Source organism: Homo sapiens, chromosome 11 (assembly GCF_000001405.40).
Source record: "Homo sapiens chromosome 11, GRCh38.p14 Primary Assembly".
Lineage (NCBI taxonomy): Eukaryota > Metazoa > Chordata > Mammalia > Primates > Hominidae > Homo > Homo sapiens.
Window position 1 is genome coordinate 119,201,558 of NC_000011.10, and position 27,977 is coordinate 119,229,534.

Below are 27,977 nucleotides of genomic sequence, written 5' to 3' on the forward strand. Positions count from 1 at the left end.
AAAGGGGAGGCATGAATAATCCACCCCTTGTTTAGCATATCATCAACAAATAACCATAAACATGGTTATGTCTATGGAGTCACCATCCTTTTATTCCAACACTTTCCTAATAAACTTGTTTTCACTTTACTCTATGGAGTTGCCCTGAATTCTTTCTTGTGCGAGATCCAAGAACCCTCTCTTGGGATCTGGATCAGGACCCCTTTCCTGTAACAAAAGTGCTGGGATTGCAGGCATGAGCCACTGCGCCCAGCAAATTTTTGTATTTTTTATAGAGACAGGGTTTTGCTATGTTGCCCATCCTGGTCTCGAACTCCTGGGCTCAAGCAATCCATCTGCCTCAGCCTCCCGAAGTGCTGGGACTACAGGCAGGAGCTACCTTGCTTGGTCTGGGAACTTTTTTCCCATGGAATGATTACTGTCCCCATTATACTTGTTAACATAAAGGAAAAAACTGGCACAAATTTAAGTAGAGAGTTTACTTGGACCAATTTTGAGGACAGCAATCCAGGAGCGTAGATTCAAGTTGCCCTGGACAATAGGCTCAGATTATCAGATTAATAGCAGTTACAAACGTGTGTGGGGTTTTTTTTTTTTTTTTTTTTTTGAGATGGCGTTTCACTCTTGTTGCCCAGGCTGGAGTGCAGTGGTGCGATCTTGGCTCACTGCAACCTCTGCCTCCTGATTCAAGTGATTCTCCCGCCTCAGCCTCCCGAGTAGCTGAGATTACAGGCGCCCACCACCACGTCCGGCTAATTTTTTGTATTTGTAATAGAGTCAGCGTTTCGCCATCTTGGCGAGGCTGGTCTTGAACTCCTGATCTTGTGATCCGCCTCCCAAAGTGCTGAGATTACAGGCCTGGCCAACAAGTGTGTTTTTAAAGGAAAAAAGAGGCCAGGTGTGGTGGCTCATGCCTGTAATCTTAGCACTTTGGGAGGCCCAGGCAGGAGGATAGCTTGAGGCCAGGAATTTAAGATCAGCATGGGCAACTTGCGACTACCACCACCCCACCGAAAATAAATAAATAAATAAATAAATAGAAGAGGCAGTTCCTAAACTGTTTGCCAATCACTTACATTAACACAGCGTAAGGTATTTGATTGGCTGTACGTTGTTCTTTGTGTCACAGATTCCACGAACATGAAGATAATGGGTGAGGCAGCTAGTCAGGGACCAAATGCCTTTAAACCATTGCCCCCAGGCATGGGTCGGGGATTTGTGACTGAAGTCCCATACTCATGTCTCGCTGGGCCTGATAATTTTGCATACCTCACATAGTTCAGACTGCTTTAAGCTATTTTTCTTTTCTCATCCTGATGCATAGAATGATATTAGAATAGAGATTGCAGAATACAAGCAACTATACCTCAGAAGAGAATATAGTTTCCAAATACGTTCAGTCAATGGACTTTCCTTTTTTTGTTTTGAGATGGAGTCTCGCTCTGTGCCCAGGCTGAAGTGGAGTGGTGCGATCTCGGATCACTGCAACCTCTGCCTCCCAGGTTCAAGGCATTCTCCTGTCTCAGCTTCCAGAGTAGCTGGGATTACAGGTGCCCACCACCACGCCTGGTTAATTTTTGTATTTTAGTAGAGACGGGGTTTCGCCACGTTGGTCAGGTTGGTCTCAAACCCCTGACCTCAGTTGATCCGCCCGCCTCGGCCTCCCAAAGTGTTGGGATTACAGGCGTGAGCCACTGTGCCCGGCCCAGTCAATGGACTTTCAGGTGCAGAATGAGGATGTGGTTTGGGGTGAAGGTGAAGTGGGATAAGAAAAAGGCTACATGTTACACGATGTGATGCAGGATGAACCAACTCTAGCATAATCCAGAATGGGAATGACATTGTGATCAACAGTCCAACCCCCTCTCTTGTACATTTTCTAAAGCAAGCGAAATAAAAATTGTGGCAGGGCACGGTGGCTCACGCCTATAGTCCTAGCACTTTGGGAGGCCGAGGTGGGTGGATTGCCTGAGCTCAGGAGTTTGAGATCAGCCTGAGCAACACGGTGAAACCCTGTCTCTATTAAAATACAAAAAATTAGCTGGGCATGGTCTCAGCTACTCGGGAGGCTGAGGCAGGAGAATGGCTTGAACCCGAAGTGGAGGTTGCAGTGAGCCAAGATTGCACCACTGTACTCCAGCCTGGGTGACAGAGCGAGACTCTGTTTCAAAGAAAAAAAAAAGGTAAAAAAAAGGGTAATCTTCCTTTTCTTATTAACTTTATTTATTTATTTGTTTATTTATGTTTTTGAGACAGAGTCTCACTCTTGTCGCTCAGCCTAGAGTGCAGTGGCACAATCTGGGCTCACTGCAACTTCTGGCTCCTGGGTTCAAGCGATTCTCCTGCCTCAGCCTCCTGAGTAGCTGGGATTACAGGCGTGCGCCACCACACCCAGCTATTTTTTTTGTATTTTTAGTAGAGATGGGGTCTCACCATGTTGGCCAAGGATGGTCTCGATCTCCTGACCTCGTGTCCCACCTGCCTCGGCCTCCCAAAGTGCTGGGATTACAGGCGTGAGCCACCACGCCCGGCCTCATTTTTTTATTTTTAGTAAAGACAAGATTTCACCATGTTGGCCAAGCTGGTCTCCAACTCCTGACCTGAGGTGATCCGCCTCCCTCGGCCTCACAAAGTGCTGGGATTACAGGTGTGAGCCACTGTGCTGGGCCGAATGGATTGGATTTTAAAGCATACTTCAGGCAGATGGAATAAGGGAATAGTCTGAGTAACGGTGATGAGAAAAGAAAGAATTGGCCAGGTGCGGTGGCTCACACCCATGATCTCAGCACTTTGGGAGGCTGAGGAGGGCAGATCCCCTCAGGTCAGGAGTTGAAGACCAGCTTGGCCAACATGGTGAAATCTCATCTTTACTAAAAATACAAAAATTAGTCAGGTGTGGTGGCGGGCACTTGTAATCCCAGCTACTCGGGGGGCAGAAGTTGCAGTGAGCCAAGATTGTGCCACTGCACTCCAGCCTGGGTGACAGACTCTGTCTCAAAATAAAATAAAATAAATAAATAAATAAAAAAGAAATAATTGTATTTGATGACTTGGTGAGTCAGCTAGCATAAGACATGTGTACCAGGGAGTAGTATAAAACTACAAGGTTGTTTAGCTTGGAGTTAGAGCAACTTGTCAATTTTATTCCCGAGGCAATGGGAGGTGTTTAAAGTTTTTTTGCGATGCTGTCTGAACTATACTTTAGGAAGCCTATGGTGGCAGGATGAATTGAAGGCACAGGAAAAGGTTTCAATATTCAATAGTCCAGGGAAAAGAAACGGAGGACCTGCAACTAGGTGTTGGCACTAAGGGATGGAGCTTTGCCTAGATTTTCCCTTTGTAGATTCTTCTCTTCCTGGATGGAAAATGATAAAAGGAAATTCTTCTGATAGTAAATTATAATGTTGACTCCAAAATCAATTCTAGATAAAGGCGATTAAATTGCAAACCCAGGATGCCTGTCTGAATGGTCCCTGCATTCAAAGATATTTTCCCCTTTACAGGAGCACCGGATAAATTTAACTCCCTAATCTGTCAAGGGCTTTGTGGAAGAGCCTGGAGGGGGATCGAAGGCGGAACTGATACTGACACACCTGGGTCTGCAAACTCCCAAAACTGAGGCTCAGAATTAGTAAATTAGGGCAGGGCACTTCCCTCTTTGGAAGGGAAGTTCCTATTTTCAAAGTTCTTCCAACGGAACTTTTACATTAGAGAAGTGTAATTGACTGAGAAGTGGAAGTGACCAGGAACAGCATTTCTGTTCCCTGGGCGGGAGAGAGAACCCCCTCGGGCGGAGCCAGCAGCAGGTCAGCTTCTGAGGGGGCCCTCATGCTGGCGGCGCCGACCTGTGGTGCAATGCTCTGAGTAGGAGAATCTTAAATACATGTTTGAGATTCAATTCCCAGAAACGTAACTAGTCTTCACAAGCCAAAAAAATAAAAATAAAAAATAAAAAAAGGAAGTGATTTCTTTTCAAGAGGTCAAAGGGCCTGGAAGAAGAGGTCCTGGCTTGAGTGTCTCAAGGCTTTCTGGGGCCTAATCCGGCTGGAATGGGCCGCAGCATTCATATTCCTGTCCTTGGTCGTGTCTTAATGAAGAATTGAAAATAATAAGGGGTGGAGAAATAACTTTCCTTTTTCTCCCACCATCCTCCCACAGTGTAAATAAACAAATAACTCTAAGCTCGATTTCCTCATTTGTCAGGGGTGGGGAAAGACTTGACATCAGGACTCTTCCATTCCATCGCCACCTGTCTTAATTTAAACATTCCCATGACCCACCCCAGAAGCGCCAACCTCCCGCCCACAAGGAGCATGGAAGTCTTGGTTTCTGGCTACTGCGCAGACTCCACCTTGGACCTACTCCCCAACCCCCCGCCGCTCCTTTCCCCGTTTCTCCAGCAGAGGGCGCAGGCCCAAAGGTTCCGCCGACCCCGCCCCAGCCTGGCCCCGCCCCGCCCCGGCGTAGGGGCGGGGAAGACGGGCACAGAAACCTGGCCGCGGCTTTCCGGGAGCTGTGGGCACGCGAGCTGCTCGAAGCCGGTGGCCCGGGGATCGTCGCTGCCCAGTCCGGCCGCGGCCGGCCGCTTCCCCGAGCTTACCAGTAAGCCGGTCCGCCTCCGGGACGCGCCCCGCCCGCCCCGGGCTCGCGCGCTCTGAAGGGGCGCGTCCCGCGCACTCCCGGCGCCGCCCACTCCCCTCCCCACGGCCGCTCCTCCCTCCGCCCGGATAGCCGGCGGCGGCGGCGGCGGCGGCGGCGGCGGCGGCCGGGAGAGGCCCCTCCTTCACGCCCTGCTTCTCTCCCTCGCTCGCAGTCGAGCCGAGCCGGCGGACCCGCCTGGGCTCCGACCCTGCCCAGGCCATGGCCGGCAACGTGAAGAAGAGCTCTGGGGCCGGGGGCGGCAGCGGCTCCGGGGGCTCGGGTTCGGGTGGCCTGATTGGGCTCATGAAGGACGCCTTCCAGCCGCACCACCACCACCACCACCACCTCAGCCCCCACCCGCCGGGGACGGTGGACAAGAAGATGGTGGAGAAGTGCTGGAAGCTCATGGACAAGGTGAAAGGCCGGCTGAGCGCCCGCTGTTGCAGGGTGGGCGTGGGCGGAGGGCCGCGGGGAGGGGAACGAGCGGACGGAGGAAGCGGGGGAGGGGACGGGTCTGGTGAAGCCGGGGAGGCGCGGAGCCGGGGTGACCGGCCGGGGGCGTGGGGGCAGGGACGAGGCCGGGAGGGTGGGGGGCGGCGTGGGGGAGGGGCTGCCGTTGGGAGTCGGGGAACGCTGGGGTGCCGCGTTTGGGGTAGCCAGACAAAGATGGAGTGGGGGCTGGGGCGAAGGTTAACTGGGAAGTCAGTGGGGCGGAAGTACAATGAGGGGTGCGGAGTTTGGGGCTCTGTGCAGGGTGTAGGGATGTAGGTCACGGAATTGGCCTGGGAGGTTAGCAGGGAGGGGGTGAGGAAGAGTGATGTACCGGCTGGGGCTCTTGGCTGGGTGAGATCTGACTAGGGAATTAGGTTCATGGGCTCTGACTGAGGAACCTGGCTGGGGTCAGGACAGCTCTCAGGGAAGCTGTGCTCTGGGTGAGAGTATAGTCCTTTCTCATTAAGATGTAACACGAAGATAAAAGACATATTGATGTTTAAGTGAGGCAAGGAAAGAACTTTCCTCCCCATCTAGCGCCGGCTCAAGTTTTTTGTTACCCTCAGAAACACTGGATGTGATCCATTGCTGGTGCTGAGATATGCACTGATTAAACCACAAGTTCTGGTTAGAACTATTATCTTCTGAAAGATGGACTGGCTGAGCCTGTTAAGCAGCAGCAGATTCTGACTTCTTAATAACTTCCTCCCTACTACATCGCTTGAGCTGGGTTCTTTTTTTCTGGTAACGGTTCTGACTCCTTATTACAGGTCCTGACTTTAAACTTGTTCGTTGAGCTTCTTTGATTACGCTTTTTTGTTTGTTTGCTTTTTGCAAGTGCGAACAAAAATAACTCCTTTATATTTAGCCACTAAGTTTGTCATTTGGGAGAATTTTACTTCCTTATAGTTGTGTCTATATGATGAAATGTAGTCAGTCTCAAGTATTTAACTGTTTAAGCAGTCGGACGCTTTGTCAGAATTCAATACGTTTTCTTGGTATTTTTCATATTCTTTAATTAATTACTTTGACAAAATTCATATTGCGTATGAAAAGTGATTAGAAGTATCTGGCACGTTTTAAGAGAATGGTGTTATTTCCTCCAGGGTAAAATTTGGTTTTCTTTGGTTCCTCCCTGGGCCTCGGTTCCTCTTCTGTAAAGTTCTTCATGGGTTGCTTTGGACTAGAAACCGCTAATAAAATGATTATGAAGCACTTAGCCAATGTAATGTGCAATTTAAATGCTTAATAAGTCCTGTGTGTGAATTAACACTCCAGTAGTGCATGCCAGTGGTTTCATAGCCACCTTTTTAGGGCTGGCTTTTCTCATGTTAAATAATTGGTATTGTAATTAATGACACAAGTATTCGTGTGTTGATTATATTGGTGGTGTAGTACTAATTTTATTGTTAGAAATTATAATAAAATCCTTACAGAAAGTTTAGGTGTGTAAAGGAAACTTTAAATGTGTCGACTCCTTTAAAAAAAACACATCGAAGATATTCAAATGCTAAAGTTTGTTAGTTTGCTTTTTAGGGATTTATCGTTAAGGACTACAAATTTTACTCTGGCATAGAAAAAATACTTTTCTAATGAGTGTCTCGTATCAGACATGTGGGTGCAGTACAATCAAAATTGTGTTGATTAGTGGCCTCTGCTTAAGAATAATCTGTTTACTAAAGAGTTTCTGTATTCTGTATTCTTTTTTTTTTTTTGAGACGGAGTTTTTCGCTCTTGTTACCCAGGCTGGAGTGCATGGTGCGATCTCGACTCACTGCAACCTCCGCCTCCTGGGTTCAAGACATTCTCGTGCCTCAGCCTCCCGAGTAGCTGGGATTACAGGTGCGCGCCACCACGCCCAGCTAATTTTTTGTATTTTTAGTAGAGACGGGGTTTCATCATGTTGACCAGGCTCGTCTCGAACTCCTGACCTCAGGTGATCCATGCGCCACGGCCTCCCAAAGTGCTGGGATTACAGGTGTGAGCCACTGGGCCTGGCCCTGTATTCTTAAAGAATAAGAGTATTCTGTATTCTTATTAAAGTGTTTCTATAAATACAGAGTAAGTTGTAGATAGTCCTATTCTACAAGGTAGCCCAAATAAAATCCTCCCTTAAGTCTTACTCCTTCATCTATTTAAAGTATGTGTATTGAATTTTGATTTATTCTGCAGAATGTTTAATTATTTGGGAAGAATAAAGAGGACTCAAAGTTTAGACTCAAATTGCTTTTCAGGTTTGATAGTTTCACGGAAAGTAGGCTTCTAGCTTTTCCCTTCCAGTGTAGGGAGAGGGATGTTTTATTTTTGTATTACTTGCCTCGGAAGTTGATTTTAATACTGTCTGTTCCCCTCTTATCACGTATTTCTAGTTGCTCTGAAAACGTAGTACTTTCTAATGTGTTAGTCTGATACGTTTATACTGCTTTCCAGATTTTCTGAATACCTCTGTGATGTTACTAGATTGCACCATCTCTTTTACCCTTGATGTTTTGAGCATAAGGTGTCCTCTTTTTTCACTTTATTTTTATTGTTGAAAGTCTTAAATGTGTCACCACACCTTGACTTCATGTGCTATAAGTGGTGAAGAACCTACTGTCAAATCCACAGATGTCCCACACATTTAATTCTTTTTAACAAAATTTCTGGGCCGGGCCCCGTGGCTCACGCTTGTAATCCCAGCACTTTGGGAGGCCGAGGTGGGCGGCTCACTTGAGGTCAGGAGCTCCAGACCAGCTCTGCCAACATGGTGAAATGCTGCCTCTACTAAAAAATACAAAAATTAGCTGGGTGTGGTGGCAGACGCCTGTAATCCCAGCTACTTGGGAGACTGGGACAGGAGAATCCCTTGAACCTGGGGCAGAGGTTGCAGTGAGCCAAGATCGCACCACTGCACTCTAGCCTGAGCGACAGAGTGAGACTCCGTCTCAAAAAAAAAAAAAAGTCTGTTTAATTCTTTTAAATGACACACATTTAGTTCTAAGTCACCATCTCATACCTGCTTTATCTTTGTTGTTGAAGCTGGATGAATATTATTCCAGCCAACTCTTAATCAGTTTATTGAATTAGCACTGGGAGCTGTTAGTCTCTTTCCTTCCCCCAATATTGGATATATACAGATGGAAAAAGTTGGCATAAGTCATGGGTTCTGGTTAACATAGGCCCGATTTACTAATCCATTATGGAACTTAAACTTAACTGTTGGAAAAATGTTTGTGCTAGAATGCTTGTTATTAAACAAAAGTTAGACAGAGCCACTGGTTTTCTTTTTGCCACCCCAGGATATTGTAATAAACATGTGCATAAATACTTGTATGTGAAGTGGCTTGTAAGCCAAAAGACAATTAGGCAGGGAGGAGAGGAGTGGGAAGTGGAGAGAAAAGAGAAAAAGTCACCTAAATTGGCCTTAAATGTATGCTGGGCTCACACCTGTAATCCCAACACTTTGGGAGGATGAGGTAGGCAGATCATTTGATCCCAGCTTCAGCCCAGGAATTCCAGACCAGCCTGGGCAACATGACGAAACCCTGTCTCTACAAAAAATACACATATTAGCCAGGCGTGGTGGTGCCTTCCTCTAAGCTCGAGCTGCTTGGGAGGATCACTTGAGCTTGGGAGATAGAGGCTGCAATGAGCTGTTGAGTCAGCCACTGCACTCCAGCCTGGGCAACAGAGTGACACCCTGTTTCAAAAACAAATAAATTGCTTTAAATGTAAATTTAAAAGTATCAAAGTGTTTAATTTAGTAAGAGACTTTATTTATTTATTTATTTGCTCTGTCACCCAGGCTGGAATGCAGTGGCATGATCTCGGCTCATTGTTTCCTCTACCTCCCAGGTTCAAATGATTTTCGTGCCTCAGCCACCAAGTAGCTGGGATTATAGGCATGCGCCACCACACCTGGCTAATTTTTCAATTTTTTTTTTTTTTTTTTTTTTTTTACTAGAGACGGATTTTCACCATGTTGGCCAGGCTGCTCTCGAACTCCTGGCCTCAATTGATCTGCCCACCTCAGCCTCCCAAAGTGCTGAGGTGGGATAACAGGCATGAGCCACCGCGCCTGGCTCAATTTAGTAAGAGACTTTAAATTCCATTATGAAATAGAACAGAGGTTGGCAAACTTTTTCTGTAAAGGGAGGTTTCAGGGCCACTGTAAATACAGTAATCCTCCATTATTCTAGGGGATATGTTCAAGACACCCAGTGGATGCCTGAAAACCCCCAATAGTACTGAACCGTGTACATATACTATGTTTTTCCTATACATACCTACCTATGATAAAGCTTAATTTATAAATTAGGCACAGTGAGAGATTAACAACAACAATAATGAAAGAGTACAATTACAAAATACACTGTAGTAAAAGTTATATAAATGTAGTCTTCCAAAATATCTTATTGTAGGCTGGGCGCGGTGGCTCATGCCTGTAATCCCAGCACTTTGGGAGGCCGAGGCAAGCGGATCATCTGAGGTCAGGAGTTCGAGACCAGCCTGGCCAAAAAGGTGAAACCCTGTCTCTACTAAAAATACAAAAATTAGCCGGGCATGGTGGTGGGTGCCTGTAATCCCAGCTACTTGAGAGGCTGAGGCAGGAGAATTGCTTGAACCCGGGAGGCGGAGGTTGCAGTGAGCTGAGACTGCTCCATTGCACTCCAGCCTGGGCAACAAGAGTGAAACTCTGTTTCAAAAACAACAACAAAAAATCTTATTGTATGGTACTGCAGGTAATGGAAACCTCAGATACGGGGAGATACTGTATTTTAGACTTTGCTGGGCACACACTAAGTCTCATGTTCTTTGTTGTTATTGTTACAACTCTTTTTATTTTTTATTTTTTGAGGTAGAGGCTCCCTCTGTTGCCCAGGCTGGAGTGCAATGGCATCTCAGCTCACTGCAACCTCTGCCTCCTGGGTTCAAGCAATTCTCTTGCCTTAGCCTCCCAAGTAGCTGGGATTACAGGTGCCCACCAGCACACCCAGCTAATTTTTGTATTTTTAGTAGAGATGAGGTTTTGCCATGTTGGCTAGGCTGGTCTCGAACTCCTGACCTCAAGTGATCTGCCTGCCTCAGCTTCCAAAAGTACTGGAACTAAAAGCATGAGCCACTGTGCCCGGTTGTTGTTGTTACGACTCTTTAAAAATGTGAAAGCCACAAAAAAAGGATGCAGGTGATTAATTTGCCCACTCCTGAAGTAGAGCATCTATTTTAGGTTTGAATTTTATTTTTATTTTATTTTTTTTATTATTTTTGAGATGGAGTTCCACTATTGTTGCCCAGACTGGAGTGCAATGGCATGATCTCGGCTCACTGCAGCCCCTGCCTCCCAGGTTCAAGTGATTCTCCTGCCTCAGCTTCCCCAGTAGCTGGGATTACGGGCATGTGCCACCATGCCTGGCTAATTTTGTATTTTTAGTAGAGATGGGGTTTCTCCATGTTGGGCAGGCTGGTCTCGAACTCCTGACCTCAGGTGATCTGCCTGCCTCGGTCTTCCAAAGTGAGCCACCACGCCCAGCCTTTATTTTTAATTAGCTTATATAATTGAAACATTAAGGTATTGGTGATTTTTAAATGGAGTATAGTTTATTAGAAAAATACATTTAAAATCATGAGCTTAAAAAAAATTACATTTTTTTGAATTAAAAAAATATTTTATTGGCCGGGTGTGTGGTGGCTCATGCTTATAATCCCAGCACTTTGGGAGGCTGAGGTGGGTGGATCACCTGAGGTCAGGAGTTCAAGACCAGCCTGACCAACATGGAGAAACCCTGTCTCTACTAAAAATACAAAAATTAGCTGGGTGTGGTGGTGCATCCCTATAATCCCAGCTACTCGGGAGGCTGAGGCAGGAGAATCCCTTGAACCCGGGAAGCGGAGGCTGCGGTGAGCCGAGATCGCACCATTGCATGCCAGCCTGGGCAAGAAGAGCAAAACTCTGTCTCAAAATAAATAAATGAATGAATGAATAAATAAATAAATAAATAAATTTTATTTTTATTCATTATTATTAACTAGTAGTATTTTTAAAAATAGAGACAGGGTCAGGCTGGGCACAGTGGCTCACGCCTGTAATCCCAGCACTTTGGGAGGCTGAGGCTGGGGGATCACCTGAGGTCAGCAGTTTGAGACCAGCCTGGCCAACATGGTGAAACCCCGTCTCTACCAAAATACCAAAATTAGCTGAGCATGATGGCGGGTGCCTGTCCTGGCTACAGGAGGCAGAGGTTGCAGTGAGCCAAGATCATGCTACTGACCTCCAGCCTGGGTGACAGAGCAAAACTCCGTCTCAAAAAAAAAGAAAAAAAAAAAAATAGAGACAGAATCTTGACAGTGTTGCCCAGGCTGGTCTCAAACTCTTGAGCTCAAATAATTCTCCCACCTCAGCCTTCCACAGTGTTGGGATTACAGGCTTGAGCCACTGCGCCCAGCCAAGAAAGTATTTTTAAAAGATGATTATTTCCTTCCTTCTAACTTTTCCTGCCTTACCCTATCCACCTTGCCTTCCCTGTGCCTCCTAAAAGCACCTTAGGAAACTTCCTGTATTTTGGAAGTGAGATACACTTAGAATTTGCAAATTAGTATATAGCATTTAATTGGACTACTACTTCACTCCCTCCCTTCCTTCTTACCTTCCTGTGTTTGTGTACACAAGCATAGTGGTAGGTATTGTCACACTCTAGGAGATTACATTATAAATGATATATAAGTGATGTGACTATAGGAGAAATATGTCTGAAGTGATGAGGATCTCTTAAGTTTAAACATCTTTCTTCTGTGTGTGAAATGTGTCAATATTTTTTCTGTATTTATCTTAACCTCTCAGGATTGTAAAGTCCTTGAGGGTAGCACCTGTAACCTGCTTGTCTCCTGCAATATCCAGTTATGGAGCCTTCTGTAATAGTAGATACTTTGTAAGTTTTTTGGTTTTGTTTTTTTTAAAAAGGGATTTATTTATTTATTTTTTAGTACACTTGGAAGAGGGCCAAGCGGGTGACTTGAGACCAAGTGCCTATTTTTATTTTTATTTATTTTTTACTTAAGAGACAGAGTCTTGCTCTGATACCCAGGCTGGAGTGCAGTGTCACAATCATAGCTCACTGCATCCTTAAGCGTCTGGGCTCAAGCCTTCCTCCCGCTTTGGCCTTCCAAAGTGCTGGGATTATAGTCACAAGCCACTGCACCCAACTAGTAGTTGGCTTTGTGTGCCCCCAAGGAATAACTGCATGGAAAAGGTATGGAGGGGGGCATTCATCTTTTCTTTTCTTTTCTTTTTTTTTGAGACGGAGTCTCGCTCTTTTGCCCCAGGCTGGAGTGCAGTTGCGTAGTCTTGGCTCACTGCAACCTCCACCTCCTGGATTCAGGCAATTTTGTTGCCTCAGCCTCCTGAGTAGCTGGGACTACAGGTGTGTGCTACCACAGCCGGCTAATTTTTGTATTTTTAGTAGAGACAGGGTTTCACTATGTTGGCCAGGTTGGTCTCAAACTCCTGACCTTGTGATCTGCTCTCCTTGGCCTCCCAAAGTGCTGGGATTACAGGCATGAGCCACCCCGCCCGGACTTTTTTTTTTTTTTTAAAGTCAGAGTCTCGCTCTGTCACCCAGGCTGGCGTACAGTCTCGGCTCAATGCAATGAGTGGCGTGATCTCACCTCTGCCTCCTGGGTTCAAGCAATTCTAGTGCCTCAGCCTCCCAAGTAGTTGGGATTACAGGCGTGTGCCACCACACCAGTTAATTTTTGTACTTTTGGTAGAGATGGGGTTTTACCATGTTGACCGGGCTGGTCTCAAACTTCTGGCCTCAAGTGACTCGCCCACTGCGACCTCCCAAAGTACTGGGATTACAGGTGTGAGCCACCGTGCCTGGGCAGTAGACATTCTCTTGAATGATACTAAGATAGTGTTTAACTAGTATTATTCAATCAAATATCTGTTGTCTACTTAAAGGTTGGTGTTTCTTCAAATTATGTGTGCTAGTTACTTTGTGTGGTGATCATAGAGGCTTTTGTATACTTTTCCAGTTATACTTAATTTATGTTGTCCACTTCATTTTTTATTTTTTTCTGATCAGATAGTTTAGATTGTAGTTCACCTTTTAGCTTCAGTTTATTAACATCTCTCTCTCTCGCCCATTAGAGCTCCTTAGGACCAAGGCTTTGTCTTAACACAGTCCCTCATTTTCTGTCTAATTAATTGAGGGGATCTGGTAGGGAATTTTTTTTTTTTTTTTTTTTTTTTAGTGAGTGCTCATTAAGGTAACATTTACTAAAAGAGGTTTTACCTTATAAAGGTAGTATTATAATTATTGTAAAACATGATTTGTGTTTTATGCCTATGAAAAGCTCACCCAAAGGATGTAAGATTCTTCATAATTCCTTAATGTAAAACATGAGCCGGTTGAGTATTTCATGTAATCAGCAGTAGGATTTTGAAAGGCATGTAGAATAAAAGTAGAGTTAGACCAGGGAAGAAGATTGTATGCTCTCTCCGTTTTGTGAGTTTGGTTGAAGTTTTTGCTGACTCTTGATATAGGAAAAACCTATTTTTAGTATGTTTTCAGCCAGCAGTATACATATAATGAACCTGATAAATCATGGTCAAATTGGTCCTGGAGTCTTCGTCTTCAGCAGAGTTCAATGTTATATTCAAACATACAATAATATTTATACTGTGATAAGTAATTTCCCTAATGATTAACCTAGAGTGCTAAGAGCAAAATGGACTAAATATTCGTTTGAAAACAGCCTAAATTTTTTTTTTTTTTTTGAGGTTGCGTCTTGCTGTGTTGCCCAGGCTGACCAACATGGTGAGCTTCATCTCTACTAAAAATACAAAAATTAGCTGGGCTTGGTGGTGCATGCCTGTAATCCCAGCTCCTCGGGAGGCTGAGGCAGGAGAATCGTTTAAACCCGCCCGGGAGGGTGGAGGTTGCAGTGAGCGGAGATCACGCCATTGCACTACATTCTGGGCAACAAGAGTGAAACTGTCTCAAAAAAAAAAAGCCGAGGGTTGTGGCATGCGCCTGTAATCCCAGCTACTCGGGAGGCTGAGGCACAAGAATTGCTTGAACTTGGGAGATAGAGGCTACAGTGAGCTGAGTTTGTGTCACTGCACTCCAGCCTGAGCGACAGAGCTAGACTCTGTCTCAAAAAAGAAAAAAAAAAGATTTGTTAGAAGAGGGGCATTTAACAAGTCACTATGAAATATTTTCATGATTAGCAAATTTTGTGCTGGAAGAATATAGGTAGGAGTAGGCACCTGGAAGCCAGCGTCAGCTTTGTCCCCACAGTGCTCCTTCCTGCAGCAGCTTCCGCAAGGAGGGAGAGGGGGTGCTAATGATGGCACTGGTGGTGCACATCCACTGGGGATCCCAGCACTGGGGAGATGTGATGCCACTATCATAGATGGACCTGTGGTTCTCTCACGAGAAATAAGCAGCCCCTCTGGGTCCCCTCTCTGCTGTCTTTGGAATGGCTAGTGAGTCGTGTGTAACAGCCTCCACTGCCTGGGCACCTTCTCACAACCACCACTGTTTGCTGCCTTCCCTGTGGCTTGGATCTGCCATGGAGGAAGGACTAAAATGAGGCCAATTCATTGGTGCTTCATTGAGTGGAGATGGGATCCTAACTCCTGCCCTCCTCCTCTCTTGGACTTATTGTAATTTATTTATTTATTTATTTATTTATTTATTTATTTATTTATTTATTTTTTGAGATGGAGTCTTGCTCTGTCACCAGGCTGGAGTGCAGTGGTGCAATCTCGGCTTACTGCAACCTCCGCCTCCCGGGTTCAAGCGATTGTCCTGCCTCAGTCTCCCTTGTAGCTGGGACTACAGGTGCCCACCACCATGCCCAGCTAATTTTTGTATTTTTAGTAGAGATGGGGTTTCACCATGTTGGCCAGGATGGTCTCGATCTCTTGACCTTGTGATCCGCCTGCCTCGGCCTCCCAAAGTGCTGGGATTACAGGCTTGAGCCACTGCGACCAGCCTCTTGGACTTATTTTAAACAGCAGCACATAACTGTAGCAATCTTTGAGAAAACCAAAAACAATTTATGAATCATAAAAGATACAGAACGAAATGTAGAAGTCTCCTTTTACCCCCATACCCCCAAATAACTACCCTCCCAAGAGGTATCTACTGTGTGTAGTTTGGGGTCCATTCCCTCCCATCTCCCTACCTGTCTTATCCTCGGTTACTCCGAGAAGGTTGGAGAAATAGCATTGATTGCCCTGGAATTATTTATATACTTAAGCAAGTCGTTGACTTTTCAGCATGTCATCATGTTAAGACTGACAAGTAAGAACTAATAATTTGTTATATTGTAGAGCAGTTTACAATTTTACATCTGCAGATAAGTTCAATCTCAAAATAATGTGTCTTATTACAGTTAAACTGAGATTCAGATAGATTAAACAAGCTACTTAAGTCACCTAGCTCGTATCTTTTTTTCTGAGACACAGTTTCACTCTTGTTGCCCAGGCTGGAGTGCAGTGGTGCAGTATTGGCTCACTGCAGCCTCCACCTCCTAGGTTCAAGCAATTCTCCTGCTCAGCCTCCCGAGTAGCTGGGGTTACAGGCATGTACCACAGGCCCGGCTAATTTTGTATTTTTAGTAGACGGGGTTTCTCCATGTTGATCAGGTTGGTCTCGAACTGCTGACCTCAGGTGATCTGCCTGCCTTGGCCTCCCAAAGTGCTGGGATTACAGGCGTGAGCTACCACGTGCAGCCCATATTTTTGTTTTTTATGTGGATCTTGAACTGATGTTCAGACTGTGTCAAGTAATTTCTTATAAACCAGTACTTCTCAGATTTTATCATGAATTCAGATCAATTCAGGGGATCTTGTTAAAATACTGACTTTGAATAGGTCTGGAGTGGGGCCTGAGAGATTTTGCATTCCTAATCAGCTCTCAGGAGATGTCATTGCAGCAGACCCAGGTACCAGACTTGATATAGGAAGGCTGTATGCCACAGTTGCTTTTATTTTGGATAAGCTTGGCGGATTTTTTTTTTAAATAAATGGAAGTTGGGCATCTTATTTAAGATTTTAATTATGATGTTCTTCAACTATGAAGGTAATACTTACTTTAAAATACAAATTTTTGGCTGGGTGTGGTGGCTCACACCTGTAATCCCAGCACTTTGAGAGGCCGAGGCAGGAAGATTGCTTGAAGCCAAGAGTTCAAGACCAGCCTAGTCGATGTAGTTAGAACCCCATCTCTACAAAATAAAAAATAAAAAAATTAGTTGGCCGTGGTGGTGAGTTCCTTTAGTCCCAGATACTCAGGAGGCTGAGGTGGGAAGATCACCCAGGAGTTTGAGGCTGCAGTGAGCTATGATCCTGCTACTGTGCATCAGCTTGGGCAACAGAGTGAGACCCTGTCTCTAAATAAAGGAAAGGAAAAAGGAAAAGAAACAGCTGATTCTTAGTTACCTCAAGTGAAAATTATGTTGACACTTTTCCACAGTCCCACTTAACATAAATGTAGTAGTTGCTGGGGAGTTAAAGATGACCCGGCACTCACACTTACAATTTGTGTGATACAACTGAAGGTATGTAGAGGGCTCTGGGAACCCTCTATGCTATAGAGTCACTGGGGCTCATGAGGCAAACCATTAATCTCTGAGGAGACAAAAAGGGGATGGGGAGGAACTTTAGACCAGTCAGGCTCTTCTGTAATACCCTCATCCACAATTGTGTCTTAATTAGTGTATGGCATCTAAAAGTGATACTAAAACATTTACAGTAGTCCCTTCATATCCATAGTTTCGCTTCCTGCTGTTTCAGTTACCTGTGGTCTGAAAATATTAAATGGAAAATTCCAGAAATAATCCATAAGTTTTAAATTGTATGCTGTTCTGAGTAACGAGGTGAAATCTTGCAATCTTACGCTGCTTCTGTCCTGGGCATGAATCATCCCTTTATGCAGTGTAGATACATACTGTGGATATAGTAGTGTATCTACACCGTCTACACTACCCACCGGTTAGTCACCTAGTAGTCATCTTGATTCTTAGATCAACTGTTGGCAGTCTTGCAGTGCCTGTATTTGAGTCACCCTTATTTTGCTTAATGACCCTCAAAGCATAAGAGTAATGATGTCGGCATTTTAAATATCCAAAGAAAAGCCAGAAAATGCCTTCTTTAAGTGAACAGGTGAAAGCTGTTAAGAAAAGAAAAAACTCATATTCCGAGGTTACTAAGATGTACAGTAAGAATGAATCTTCTACTCATGAAATTCTGAAGAAAGGTCTGGGCTCAATGGCTCATGCCTGTAATCCCAGCACTTTGGGAGGCTAAGGTGGGTGTATCACTTGTGTCCAGGAGTTCGAGACCACCCTGGGCATGTGGTGAAACCCTTCTTTATTTTAAAAAAAAATTTTGAAGAAGCAAAAAGAAATTTATACTAGGGCCGGGCGTGGTGGCTTACACCTGAAATCTCAGCACTGAGGGAGGCTGAGGCTGGTGGATCACTTGAGGTCAGAAGTTGGAGACCAGCCTGGCCAACATGGTGATACCCTGTCTCTACTAAAAAATACAAAAATTAGCCAGGTATGGAGGCGGGCTCCTGTAATCCCATCTACGTGGGAGGAGGCTAAGGAGAATTGCTTGAACCCAGGAGGCAGAGGTGGCAGTGAGCCGAGATAGTGTCATTGCACTCCAGCCTGGGCACAGAGTGAGACTCTGTCTCAAAAAAAAAAAAAAGAAAGAAAGAAAGAAATCATACTAGGCTTGCTGTCATACTTCATGGCCCTGGTATATGATAAGTGCTTCATTAAGATGGAGAAGGTGTTAAATTTGTGGATGGAAGACATGCACAGAAACGTTTTCTGATTGGTGCAATTGGGTTTGGTATTATCCTTGGTTTGAGGCAACCACTGAGGGTCTTGGAATGCATCCCCCTAAGATAAAGGGGGACCACTGTAATCTCTAGTTCATACTAAGTATTTGGTTTGAAGTTGCATCGATAACTCTGGACAAAGAACCATTTTTGCCTTTTTTTTTTTTTTTATTTTGAGACAGAGTCTTACTCTGTTGTCCAGGATGGAGTGCAGTGGTGCGATTTCAGCTCACTGCAACCTCTGCCTCCTGGGTTCAAGTGATTCTCCTGCCTCAGCCTCCCAAGTAGCTGGGATTATAGGTGGGCACCACCACGCCCGACTATTTTTTTTTTTTTTTTTTGAGACGGAGTCTTGCTCTGTCACCCAGGCTGTAGTGCAGTGGCGTGATCTCGGCTCACTGCAACCTCCGCCTCCCGGGTTCAAGCCATTCTCCTGCCTCAGCCACCCGAGTAGCTGGGATTACAGGTGTGCGCCACCACGCCCGGCTAATTTTTGTATTTTTAGTAGAGGCGGGGTTTCACCATGTTGGCCAGGCTGGTCTCGAACTCCTGACCTTGTGACCTTGTGATCCACCCACCTTGGCCTCCCAAAGCGTAGGGATTACAGGTGTGAGCCACTGCACCCGGCCATGCCTGGCTAATTTTTGTATATTTAGTAGAGATGGGGTTTCACCATGTTGGGCAGGCTGGTCTTGAACTCCTGACCTCAGGTGATCCGCCCACCTCAGCCTCCCAAAGTGTTGGTATTACAGGTGTGAGCCACTGCACCTGGCCCATTTTTGCCTTTTAAAAGTAGAACTGGCTGGGTGCAGTGGCTCATTCCTGTAATCCCAGCACTTTGAGAGATTATGGTGGGAGAATCACTTGAGGTCAGGAATTTAAGACCAGCCTGGATAACATAGCAAGACCCTGTGTCTAAAAAAATATTAGCCAGGTGTGGCACATGCCTGTAGTCCCAGCTACTGGGGAGGCTGAGGGAGGAGCATCACTTGAGCCTAGCAGGTCGAGGCTGAAGTGAGCTGTGATGACGCCACTGCACTCCAATGTGGGCGACAGAGTGAGACCCTGTTTCAAAAAAATAAAAATAAAATCCATATATAAAAACTGCATGGTTAAGTTTTCAGAGCATACATTGTATTGAATGTATTTTTTCTGCAGTTGATGTGGTAGGTGAAAGTAATGAGATTGGTAATGAATTATAAGTGGCATGGTGTTTTTAATAAGTGCTGTTGGGTGATATTTGAGAAGTATACTGTAGTAACTACAATTCAAGAACCTGAATGGAGTTTTGAGAAATCAAAAATTGAGAATAATAATTACAAGTAAGGCGTTTTTCAAATTATTGTCTAATGATGGGGCTATTGTCTAGTGATGACACTTTTTTTTTTCCTGTGATCAGTTGACTTTAAAATATGTTTGTTAAAAAAAAGTATAGGTGGCCGGATGCAGTGGCTTACGCCTGTAATCCCAGCACTTTGGGAGGCCGGGGTGGGCGATCATTTGAGGCCAGGAGTTCGAGACCAGCTTGTTCAACATGTGAAACCCCGTCTCTACTAAAAATACAAAAATTAGCCGGGCGTGGTAGTGCGCGCCTGTAGTCTCTGCTACTTGGGAGACTGAGGCAGAGAATTGCTTGAACCTGGGAGGTGGAGGCTGCAGTGAGCTGACATCACACCACTGCATTCCAGCCTGGGTGACAGAGCGAGACTCCATCTCAGAAAAAAAAAAAAAAGTATAGGTTTCCGGCTGGGCACCGTGGCACATCCTGTAATGCCAGCACTTTGCGAGGTTGAGGTGGGCGGATTGCTTGAGCCTAGGAGTTCAAGACCAGTCTAGGCAACATAGTGAGACCCCATCTCTATTTTTATTTAAAAATTAAACCAAAAACAAAAAAGGATGGGTTTCTGATTTGTCTTTGAAAAACAGTCATGAGTTTTCGTTTAAAAAAGCTTCACTATAAGCTGGGCACAGTGGCTCACGTCTATAATCCCAGCACTTTGGGAGGCCAAGGTGGATGGATCGCGAGGTCAGGAATTCGAGACCAGCCTGACCAATATGGTGAAACCCCCTCTCTACTAAAAATACAAAAAAATTAGCCAGGCGTGGTGGCGCATGCCTGTAATTTCGGTTACTTGGGAGGCTGAGGCAGGAGAATTGCTTGAACCCGGGAGGCGGAGGTTGCAGTGAGCCAAGTCGCGCCACTGCACTCCAGCCTGGGCAACAGAGAGAGACTCCGTCTCAAAAAAAAAAAAAAAAGCTTCACTATATATTTATACCTGTTAAACTTCTTCAAGTTTCTGAGATGGAGTTTTTAAAATTTGAAGCTTTAAGAGACTTTAGAAATAAATTGATCTAACTCTTTCATTTACAGAGACCCGGAAGGGCAAATAACTTGCTTGAGGTTGTATAGCCAGTTAATGTCAGTCACCAGACTAGAGCCCAGGTCTCTGGACTTGTGCTCTAGTATCCTCCTCTCTTCTTGACAGGAGGTTAATATTCATCCTTTTAAATTATAATGACATTTTACATGTATAGCTCCACATATTGAATACTTGTTTTTGTAGCATAAAACTATTCATTTTTAACATGGGAAAACATTGAAAATGAGAAATGCTTGTATCAATAAGTTGGAGTCTTTAGAGATAAAAATATTTATTTTAGTCTTACATGTGTATGGTTTTCTGCCTAATTAGAAACACAGATTCCTTAGTGTTAGAAAAGATTCTGTATTCACAACAGCATTAGGCTTAGGCATTGTTGTTCTCTATAACTTTTTGCTCTTTAAAAGTTTAGCAATTTTCAAGCATAGTTTTATTCCTCTTTATTGTGATCATAACACTTTCCAAATTTTTTCTATTGACCATTGAGTCTTGGCAGAAGCAAAGGGAGGAGCTAGGCCAGTGAGAAAGCTATTATGAATGGAGTGCATGGCAGCTGTACAAGGATACTGTTGGTTTCCCGGAGCTAAGCACGTTTCTTTTTAACATTGTTCTGAGTGATGCTGTAAATGTACAGGCAGAAGTAAACAAAAGGCAGCCATTTTTGCCACTGCAGGATTTGGAATGCAAAATAAAGTTAGCCAAATGGAGGACAGACTAAGCAGGAAAATATTTGTATCTTTTAGAAATTTTTTGGTGAATTTTTGTTTTTTGGTTCATGTTTGTTTTTTGAAGGTTAACTATGACTGCCAGTTTAAAATTCACTAAATAATATAGGCAGATTGTTTGGGTTTTTGATGTTTGTTAACTATTGACTTGAATTATTCACACAGGGCCTTTAGGAACCATTTTTTAAAAGAGGTTATACATAATAAGGACTTTTTTTCCTTTCCAAAGAATATTAATATCGAGAGTATCAAGAGCATGGCCAGGCGTGGTGGCTCTTGCCTGTATATAATCCCAGCATTTTGGGATGCCAGGAGGCAGGATAACTTGAGGCCAGGAGTTTGAGACCAGCCTGGGTAACATAGTGAGGCCCTATCGCTGCAAAAAATAGTTTAAAAAATTATCCAGGTGTGGTGGCGTGTACCTGTAGTCCCGGCTACTTGGGAGGTCTAGTTGGGAATGTCTCTTGAGTCCAGGAGTTCAAAGCATTTGAGGTATGATCATGCCACTGTGCTCCAGCCTGGGTGACAGAGCAAACCACCCCACACCCTTCCTTTTTTTTTTTTTTTTTTTTTTTTTTTTTTAAAGAGACAGATCTTGCCATCTTGCCCAGCTGGTCTCAAACTCCTAGGTTCAAGCCATCCTCCCGTCTCAGCCTTTCAAAGTGCTGGGATTACAGACATGAGCCACCATGCCTGGCCTTTTTAAAATTTTTGGTTTTTATTTTATTTTACTTTATTTTATTTTGTTTTGTTTTATATTTTATTTTGAATTATGTTATGTTATGTTATGTTATTATGTTATGTTATTTTATTTTAAGACAGAGTCTCGCTCTGTCACCCACACCGGAGTGCAGTGGCCTGATCTCTGCTCACTGCAAACTCCATCTCCCAGGTTCAAGCAATTCTCCTGTCTCAGCCTCCCAAGTAGCTGGGACTACAGGCGCCCGCCACCACGCCCGGCTAAATTTTTTTTTATTATTATTTATTTATTTTATTATTTATTTATTTTGAGACAGCGTCTCTCTCTCTCTGTTGCCAGGCTGGAGTGCAGTGGCGTGATCTCAGCTCACTGCAACCTCTGCCTCCCAGGTTCAAGTGATTCTCCTGTCTCAGCCTCCCGAGTAGCTGGGATTACAGGCACGTGCCACCACACTCAGCTAATTTTTGTATTTTTTGTAGAGATGGGGTTTCACCATGTTGGCCAGGCTGGTCTCGATCTCCTGACCTCATGATCTGCCCACTGCAGCCTCCCGAAGTGCTGGGATTACAGGTGTGAGCCAATGCCCCTGGCAATTTTTTTTTGAGACTCTATCTCTTAAAAGATGAAGAAAAAAGAGTACCTACCTGTATATTCTTTGAGGTCTGTGTTAGTGTTCCATAGTTGAAGACTTAAGAGTTAGTGCAGTGCTGATTTCCCTGGTCATGATGATTCATTTTCAAAAGATCTTGAGAAAACCAGACATTTAGTATACAAATGAACTTTAAGAGGTGACATGCTAAAGAAGGACAAATAACACTTGTGGAGGGGACATGGTACTAGTTTAAAAATACTAATTCATGAAATGTTTTGGAAACATTTTGTGTTACATTGTGAGGGCTGATACATTGTCATGAACATTTATTGATTGCATATGATACAGGTTTTAGTTTAGTTTTTTGTTGTTGTTGAAGGGATGTGTGGTTGACCCTAGAACAGCTAGGAGGTTAGGGGCACAGACCACCCCACGTCCCATCCACCTCAGTCCCTGTCCCCCTCATTACCTCCAGCCACTGCCCCCCATTGAAAGTCACACATAACTTTTGACTCCCTGCCAAAAGTTAACCAGTAATAGCCTACTGTTGACCAGAAGCCTTACTGATAACATAAAACAGCTTATTAACATGTTATTTTGTACATACATGTATTATATCATGTGTTCTTACAATAAAGTAAGCCAGATTAAAGAAAACATTATTTTTTGTATTTTTTGTTTGTTTGAGATGGAGTCTTGCTCTGTCGCCAGGCTGGAGTGCAGTGGCGTGACCTTGGCTCACTGCAACCTCTGCCTCCCGGGTTCAAGCGATTCTCCTGCGTCAGCCTCCTGAGTAGCTGGGATTACAGAAGAAAACATTGAAAAAATCATAAGGAGGATAAAATATTTACGATTCATTAAGTGGAAGTGGATCTTCATCCTCTTTGTCTTCATGTTGAGTAGGAGGAGGAGGGGTTGGCTGCTGTCTCGGGTGGCAGAGATGGAATAAATAGAAGAGGTGGAGCGGGAGGCAAGGGGGCAGGCACACTTGGTATAACTTTTATTGAAAAAGAACTTCGTATAAGCAGACCCACGCTTTCAAACCCATGTTGTTGAAGGGTCAACTGTATACCTTTTTTTCAGAGGTATTAGGCAAGTACTCCGTTTTATCCTAAACTCTTTGGGGTGTGTGTGTGTGTGTGTGTGTGTGCGCGCGCTTGTATGTATGCATGTATTTATTTATTTATTTGAGACAGAGTCTTGCTCTGTTGCCCAGGCTATGAGTGCAGTGGCGTGATCTCGGCTCACTGCAACCTCCACCTCCCGGGTTCATGCAATTCTCCTGTCTCAGCCTCCCCAGTAGCTGGGACTACAGGTGCATGCCACCATGCCTGGCTAATTTTTGTATTTTTAGTAGAAACGGGGTTTCATCATGTTGGTCAGGCTGGTCTCCAACTCCTGACGTCAGGTGATTCTCCCGCCTTGGCCTCCCAAAGTGCTGGGATTACAGGTGTGAGTTACTGTGCCTGGCCTTATGTTTTGTTTTTGTTTGGAGACAGGGTCTCATTCTGTCCTACAGGCTGGAGTGTGGTGATGCAGTCTTGGTTCACTGCAGCCTCAGCCTCCTAGGCTCAATTGATCTTTTCACCTCAGCATCCCAAGTAGTTGGGACTACAGGCATGTGCACCACATCCAGTTAATTTTTGGTATTTTTTGTAGAGATAGGGTTTTGCCATGTTGTCCAGGCTAGTCTTGAACTCCTAGGCTCAAGCGATCTGCCCACCTCAGCGTCAGCTTCAGCTCCCAAGGTTCTGGGATTACAGATGTAAGACACCGTATCCAGCCAATATAAATATTTTCTTTTTTTTTTTTTTTTTTTTGAGACAGAGTTTCGTTCTTGTTGCCCATGCTAGAGTGCAAAGGTGCTACCTCAGCTCGCTGCAACCTCCGCCTCCCGGGTTCAACCGATTCTTCTGCCTCAGCCTCCCGAGTAGCTAGGATTACCGGCATGTGCCACCACGCTTGGCTAATTTTTTGTGTTTTTAGTAGAGACGGGGTTTCACCATGTCGGCCAGGCTGGTCTCAAACTCCTGACCTCAGGTAATCCACCTGCCTTGGCCTCCCAAAGTGCTGGGATTACAGGCATGAGCCACCGCATCTGGCCTAAATATTTTCATTGGGAGCTGTACTTGGTACTTGGTTTGAACCTTTTAAGGGCTGGATTCTGTAGCTTTTGCAGATTGTTGGTCACCCAATTCTTGTGTTACCTGCTGCTGCCTTTTCTCTATTTCTTGGTTACCAGAGACCATGCAGGACTGGGACAGTAGTTGTGTTATGGGCCCAAATGATAGGACTAATGCTACCAGGTTCTGGGAATCATCAAAGGGTGATATGAGGTCCACTATTCTGTCTTTAGTAGGTAATTCTTGCCTCCCCTGCATATAAGCCACTCAGATGGTGTGGAAATGAGAAGGGGAGCTAACATTTATTGAATGCGATTTTTTTGGAAACTGTGCAATCCTTTTATGCAAATTTTATTATGAGGCATTATCTTTGATTTTGTGGTTAAAAGAACTAAGGCTCAGAGGTTAAGAAATTTACTCAACTTAAATGACTGAAACAGGACATTTTTTTTTTTGAGATGGGGTCTGTGGCATGTCTCAGCTCACTGCAACCTCCTCCTTCTGGGTTCAAGCAATTCTCTTGCCTCAGCCTCCTGAGTAGCTGGGACTCCAGGTGTGTGCCACCATGCCTGGCTGATTTTCGCATTTTTCATAGAGACGGAATTTCACCATGTTGGCCAGGCTGGTCTTGAACTCCTGACCTCAAGTGATCTGCCTACCTCAGCCTCCCAAAGTGCTGGGATTACAGGCATGAGCCACCACGCCCCGCCTGAAGCAAGACATTTTGATATGGCTATTTGATTCAATCTGGTCAAAGTACTAAAATGTTATTTAGTCCTTTAAAAATTTAATTGAAAACTTAAAAACTTATAGCTTAGGCTTTAGCATAATGTCTCTTTGGTGACTTCCTTACCTGTTCCACAAATCTCTCTCATTACCTTCTCCACCTTGTTCACTATGCTTTAATCTCACTGACCTTTCTATTCTTCAAACAAATCTCAACCACTTACCACTTTAAGACCATTGAAGTACAATGGTTTGATGGTACGGTGGTTTGATTTGGGATTTTTCGACTTTATGATGGTGCAAAAGTGATAGCTATTCAGTGGAAACTGCGCTTTGAATATCCATATAACCATTCTGCCATTCTGTTTTCACTTTTAGTACAGTATTCAATAAATTACATCAGTTATTCAGCACTTTATAATAAAGTAGTAGGCTTTGTGTTAAGATGATTTTGCCCAACTCTAGGCTACTGTGTTATGAACATGTTTAAGGTAGGCTAGCTAAGCTATGATGTTTGGTAGGCTAAGTATATTAAATATACTATTGACTTATGATACCTTCAACTTAGGATAGGTTTATTGGAATGTAACTCCATTGTAAATTGAGGAACATCTGTAGTTGTTCGCTCTTTTTGGGCTACTCTTCTGCTGTAGCTGGCTTTTTTCTCTAATTTCAACTCTTAGCCTCAATGTCGCATCAGAAAAGCCTTATCTACTAGTCACCCAGCACTTTCTTATCATATTAGCCTATTTTAATTCTATAGTGAACCTTATAATTTTCTTTTTTTTTTTTTTATGACGGAGTTTTGCTCTTGTTGCCCAGGCTGGAGTGCAATGGTGCGATCTTGGCTCAACGCAACCTCTGCCTCCCGGGTTCAAGCAATTCTCCTGCCTCAGCCTCCCAAGTAGCTGGGATTACAGGCATGGGCCACCACGCCTGGCTAATTTTGTATTTTTATTCCAGACAGGATTTCTCCATGTTGGTCAGGCTGGTGTCGAACTCCTGACCTCAGGTGATCCACCTGCCTTGGCCTCCCAAAGTGCTGGGATTACAGGCGTGAGCCACCGCGCCCCGCAAACCTTATAATTTTCTTGTTGAATTCATTTTTATTGTTTTATTGCTTGATTCCTCTCACATTCAGATACCTTGTCTTTTTACTTCTGTGTCCCTGTGCCTGACACATATTTGTTGAATGAATATGTTGAGAAAAATAAAAACTGGTACAACCTTTAACTTACAGCCTCCATATGTACAAATTGGTCTCTGTCTGAACCTATGCTCACTCTTTTTTTTTTTTCCTATTCTAGGAGGCGTCCTCTTCTTTTAAAATATATGTATTTTAATGTATTCTCTTTTTTTTGAGATAGAGTCTCATTCCGTTGCCCAGGCTAGAATATGGTGGTGTGATCTTGGCTGACTGCAACCTCCGCCTCAAGCGGCCCTCCCACCTCAGCCTCCTGAGTGACTGGGACCACAGGTGCCCACCACCATGTCTACTTAATGTTTTTTTATATGTTTTTGTAGAGATGGGGTTTTGCAATGTTGTCCAGGCTGAATTTTAATTTTTTAGAAATAGACACAAAGCATTTTGGGAGGTCGAGGTGGGCGGATCACCAGAGTTCAGGAGTTTGAGACCAGCCTGGCCAACATGGTGAAACCCTGTCTCTACTAAAAATACAAAAATTAGCCGGGCATGGTGGCGCATGCCAGTAATCCCAGCTACTTGGGAGGCTGAGCCAGAAGAATCACTTGAACCTGGGAAGCGGAGGTTGCAGTGAGCTGAGATCGCACCATTGCACTCCAGCCTGAGCGACAAGAGCAAAACTCCATCTCAAAAAAAAAAAAAAGGAAATAGGGACAAGGTCTTGCCATGTGGCCCAGGCTGGAGTGCAGTGGCTGTTCACAGGCATGATCATAGTACACTGCAGCCTCAGACTCTTGGACTCACTCAAGCAATCCTTCTGCTTCAACCTCTGGAGTAGCTGAGACTTACACCCACACCACCACCACTCCTAGCTAATTCCTTCTCTCTCTCTCTCTCTTTTTTTTTTTTGGAGACGTGGTTTCGCTCTTGTCCCCCAGGCTGGAGTGCAGTGGCGTGGTCTTGGCTCACTGCAAACTTTGCTTCCCGGGTTCAAGTGATTCTCCTGCCTCAGCCTCCCAAGTAGCCGGGATTACAGGTGCCTGCCACCATGCCTGGCTAATTTTTTTTGTATTTTTTAGTAGAGACAGGGTTTCACCATGTTGGCCAGTTGTCACTTATCTCCTTTTCTCTTCTGGATCTTTCTTAATATAAAGCATGTTTAGTTTTCAGTTTTTGCTAGATCTTAATCTCTAGTTACAGTGTCGGTCTTCCCCACTTCCTTCCACAGACTAACATAGGAAACTACAATTTTAATATTTTTGTTGTGAAATGTAGTCTGTTTATAAATACCTGACTTACTTTTGGAATGTAGCACTTGTAAACTGGGAACTGTCTGTATTTGTTTTATTAATATGAGTTATTAACTCTGTTGTACTTAGAATATAGTTATCTTCCGAGGTGGAGTCTTTTTTCCCTGGCCATGTTCTTCCCTTTTGACTTGAACACTTGATAAGAATGAAGAGCTTTCTAAAATGCTGTGAAAATATTCATGAACCAAATGTTTTTGTTGATTCAGCTTGTCTTTGTTTGCTAGGCTTATATATGGGGCTAGCTGGATGTGGTGGCATGAGCCTTTAATCCCGGCTATTCAGGCAGTTTAGGCAGGAGGGTTGCTTG

The 27,977-nt window shown here is 44.3% G+C and overlaps 1 protein-coding gene across 1 annotated transcript in view, besides 6 other annotated features; it reads left to right on the forward strand.

The window, feature by feature from the left end:
- Window positions 4,290-4,359: a silencer, noted in NCBI's record as "silent region_3973". NCBI's record gives its function as "represses an Ori minimal core promoter by ATAC-STARR-seq in GM12878 lymphoblastoid cells {active_cell/tissue: GM12878}" and the evidence as "EXISTENCE:reporter gene assay evidence [ECO:0000049][PMID:35858748]".
- Window positions 4,400-4,789: a silencer, noted in NCBI's record as "silent region_3974". NCBI's record gives its function as "represses an Ori minimal core promoter by ATAC-STARR-seq in GM12878 lymphoblastoid cells {active_cell/tissue: GM12878}" and the evidence as "EXISTENCE:reporter gene assay evidence [ECO:0000049][PMID:35858748]".
- Window positions 4,733-4,765: a repeat instability region, noted in NCBI's record as "repeat instability region; expansion of the (CGG)n trinucleotide repeat is associated with fragility at FRA11B". NCBI's record gives the evidence for it as "EXISTENCE:polymerase chain reaction evidence [ECO:0000082][PMID:7603564]" and "EXISTENCE:Southern hybridization evidence[ECO:0000078][PMID:7603564]".
- Window positions 4,733-4,766: a tandem repeat, named in NCBI's record as "fragile site, folic acid type, rare, fra(11)(q23.3)".
- CBL (Cbl proto-oncogene) overlaps window positions 4,782-27,977 on the forward strand; it is a 101,811-nt gene continuing 78,615 nt past the window's right edge. Inside the window, exon 1 of the mRNA NM_005188.4 lies at window positions 4,782-5,055. Within this exon, the coding sequence (NP_005179.2) occupies window positions 4,861-5,055 (195 nt within the window). The 5' untranslated portion in view covers window positions 4,782-4,860. The remainder of the gene's footprint in view (window positions 5,056-27,977) is intronic.
- Window positions 4,860-5,049: a silencer, noted in NCBI's record as "silent region_3975". NCBI's record gives its function as "represses an Ori minimal core promoter by ATAC-STARR-seq in GM12878 lymphoblastoid cells {active_cell/tissue: GM12878}" and the evidence as "EXISTENCE:reporter gene assay evidence [ECO:0000049][PMID:35858748]".
- Window positions 5,240-5,299: a silencer, noted in NCBI's record as "silent region_3976". NCBI's record gives its function as "represses an Ori minimal core promoter by ATAC-STARR-seq in GM12878 lymphoblastoid cells {active_cell/tissue: GM12878}" and the evidence as "EXISTENCE:reporter gene assay evidence [ECO:0000049][PMID:35858748]".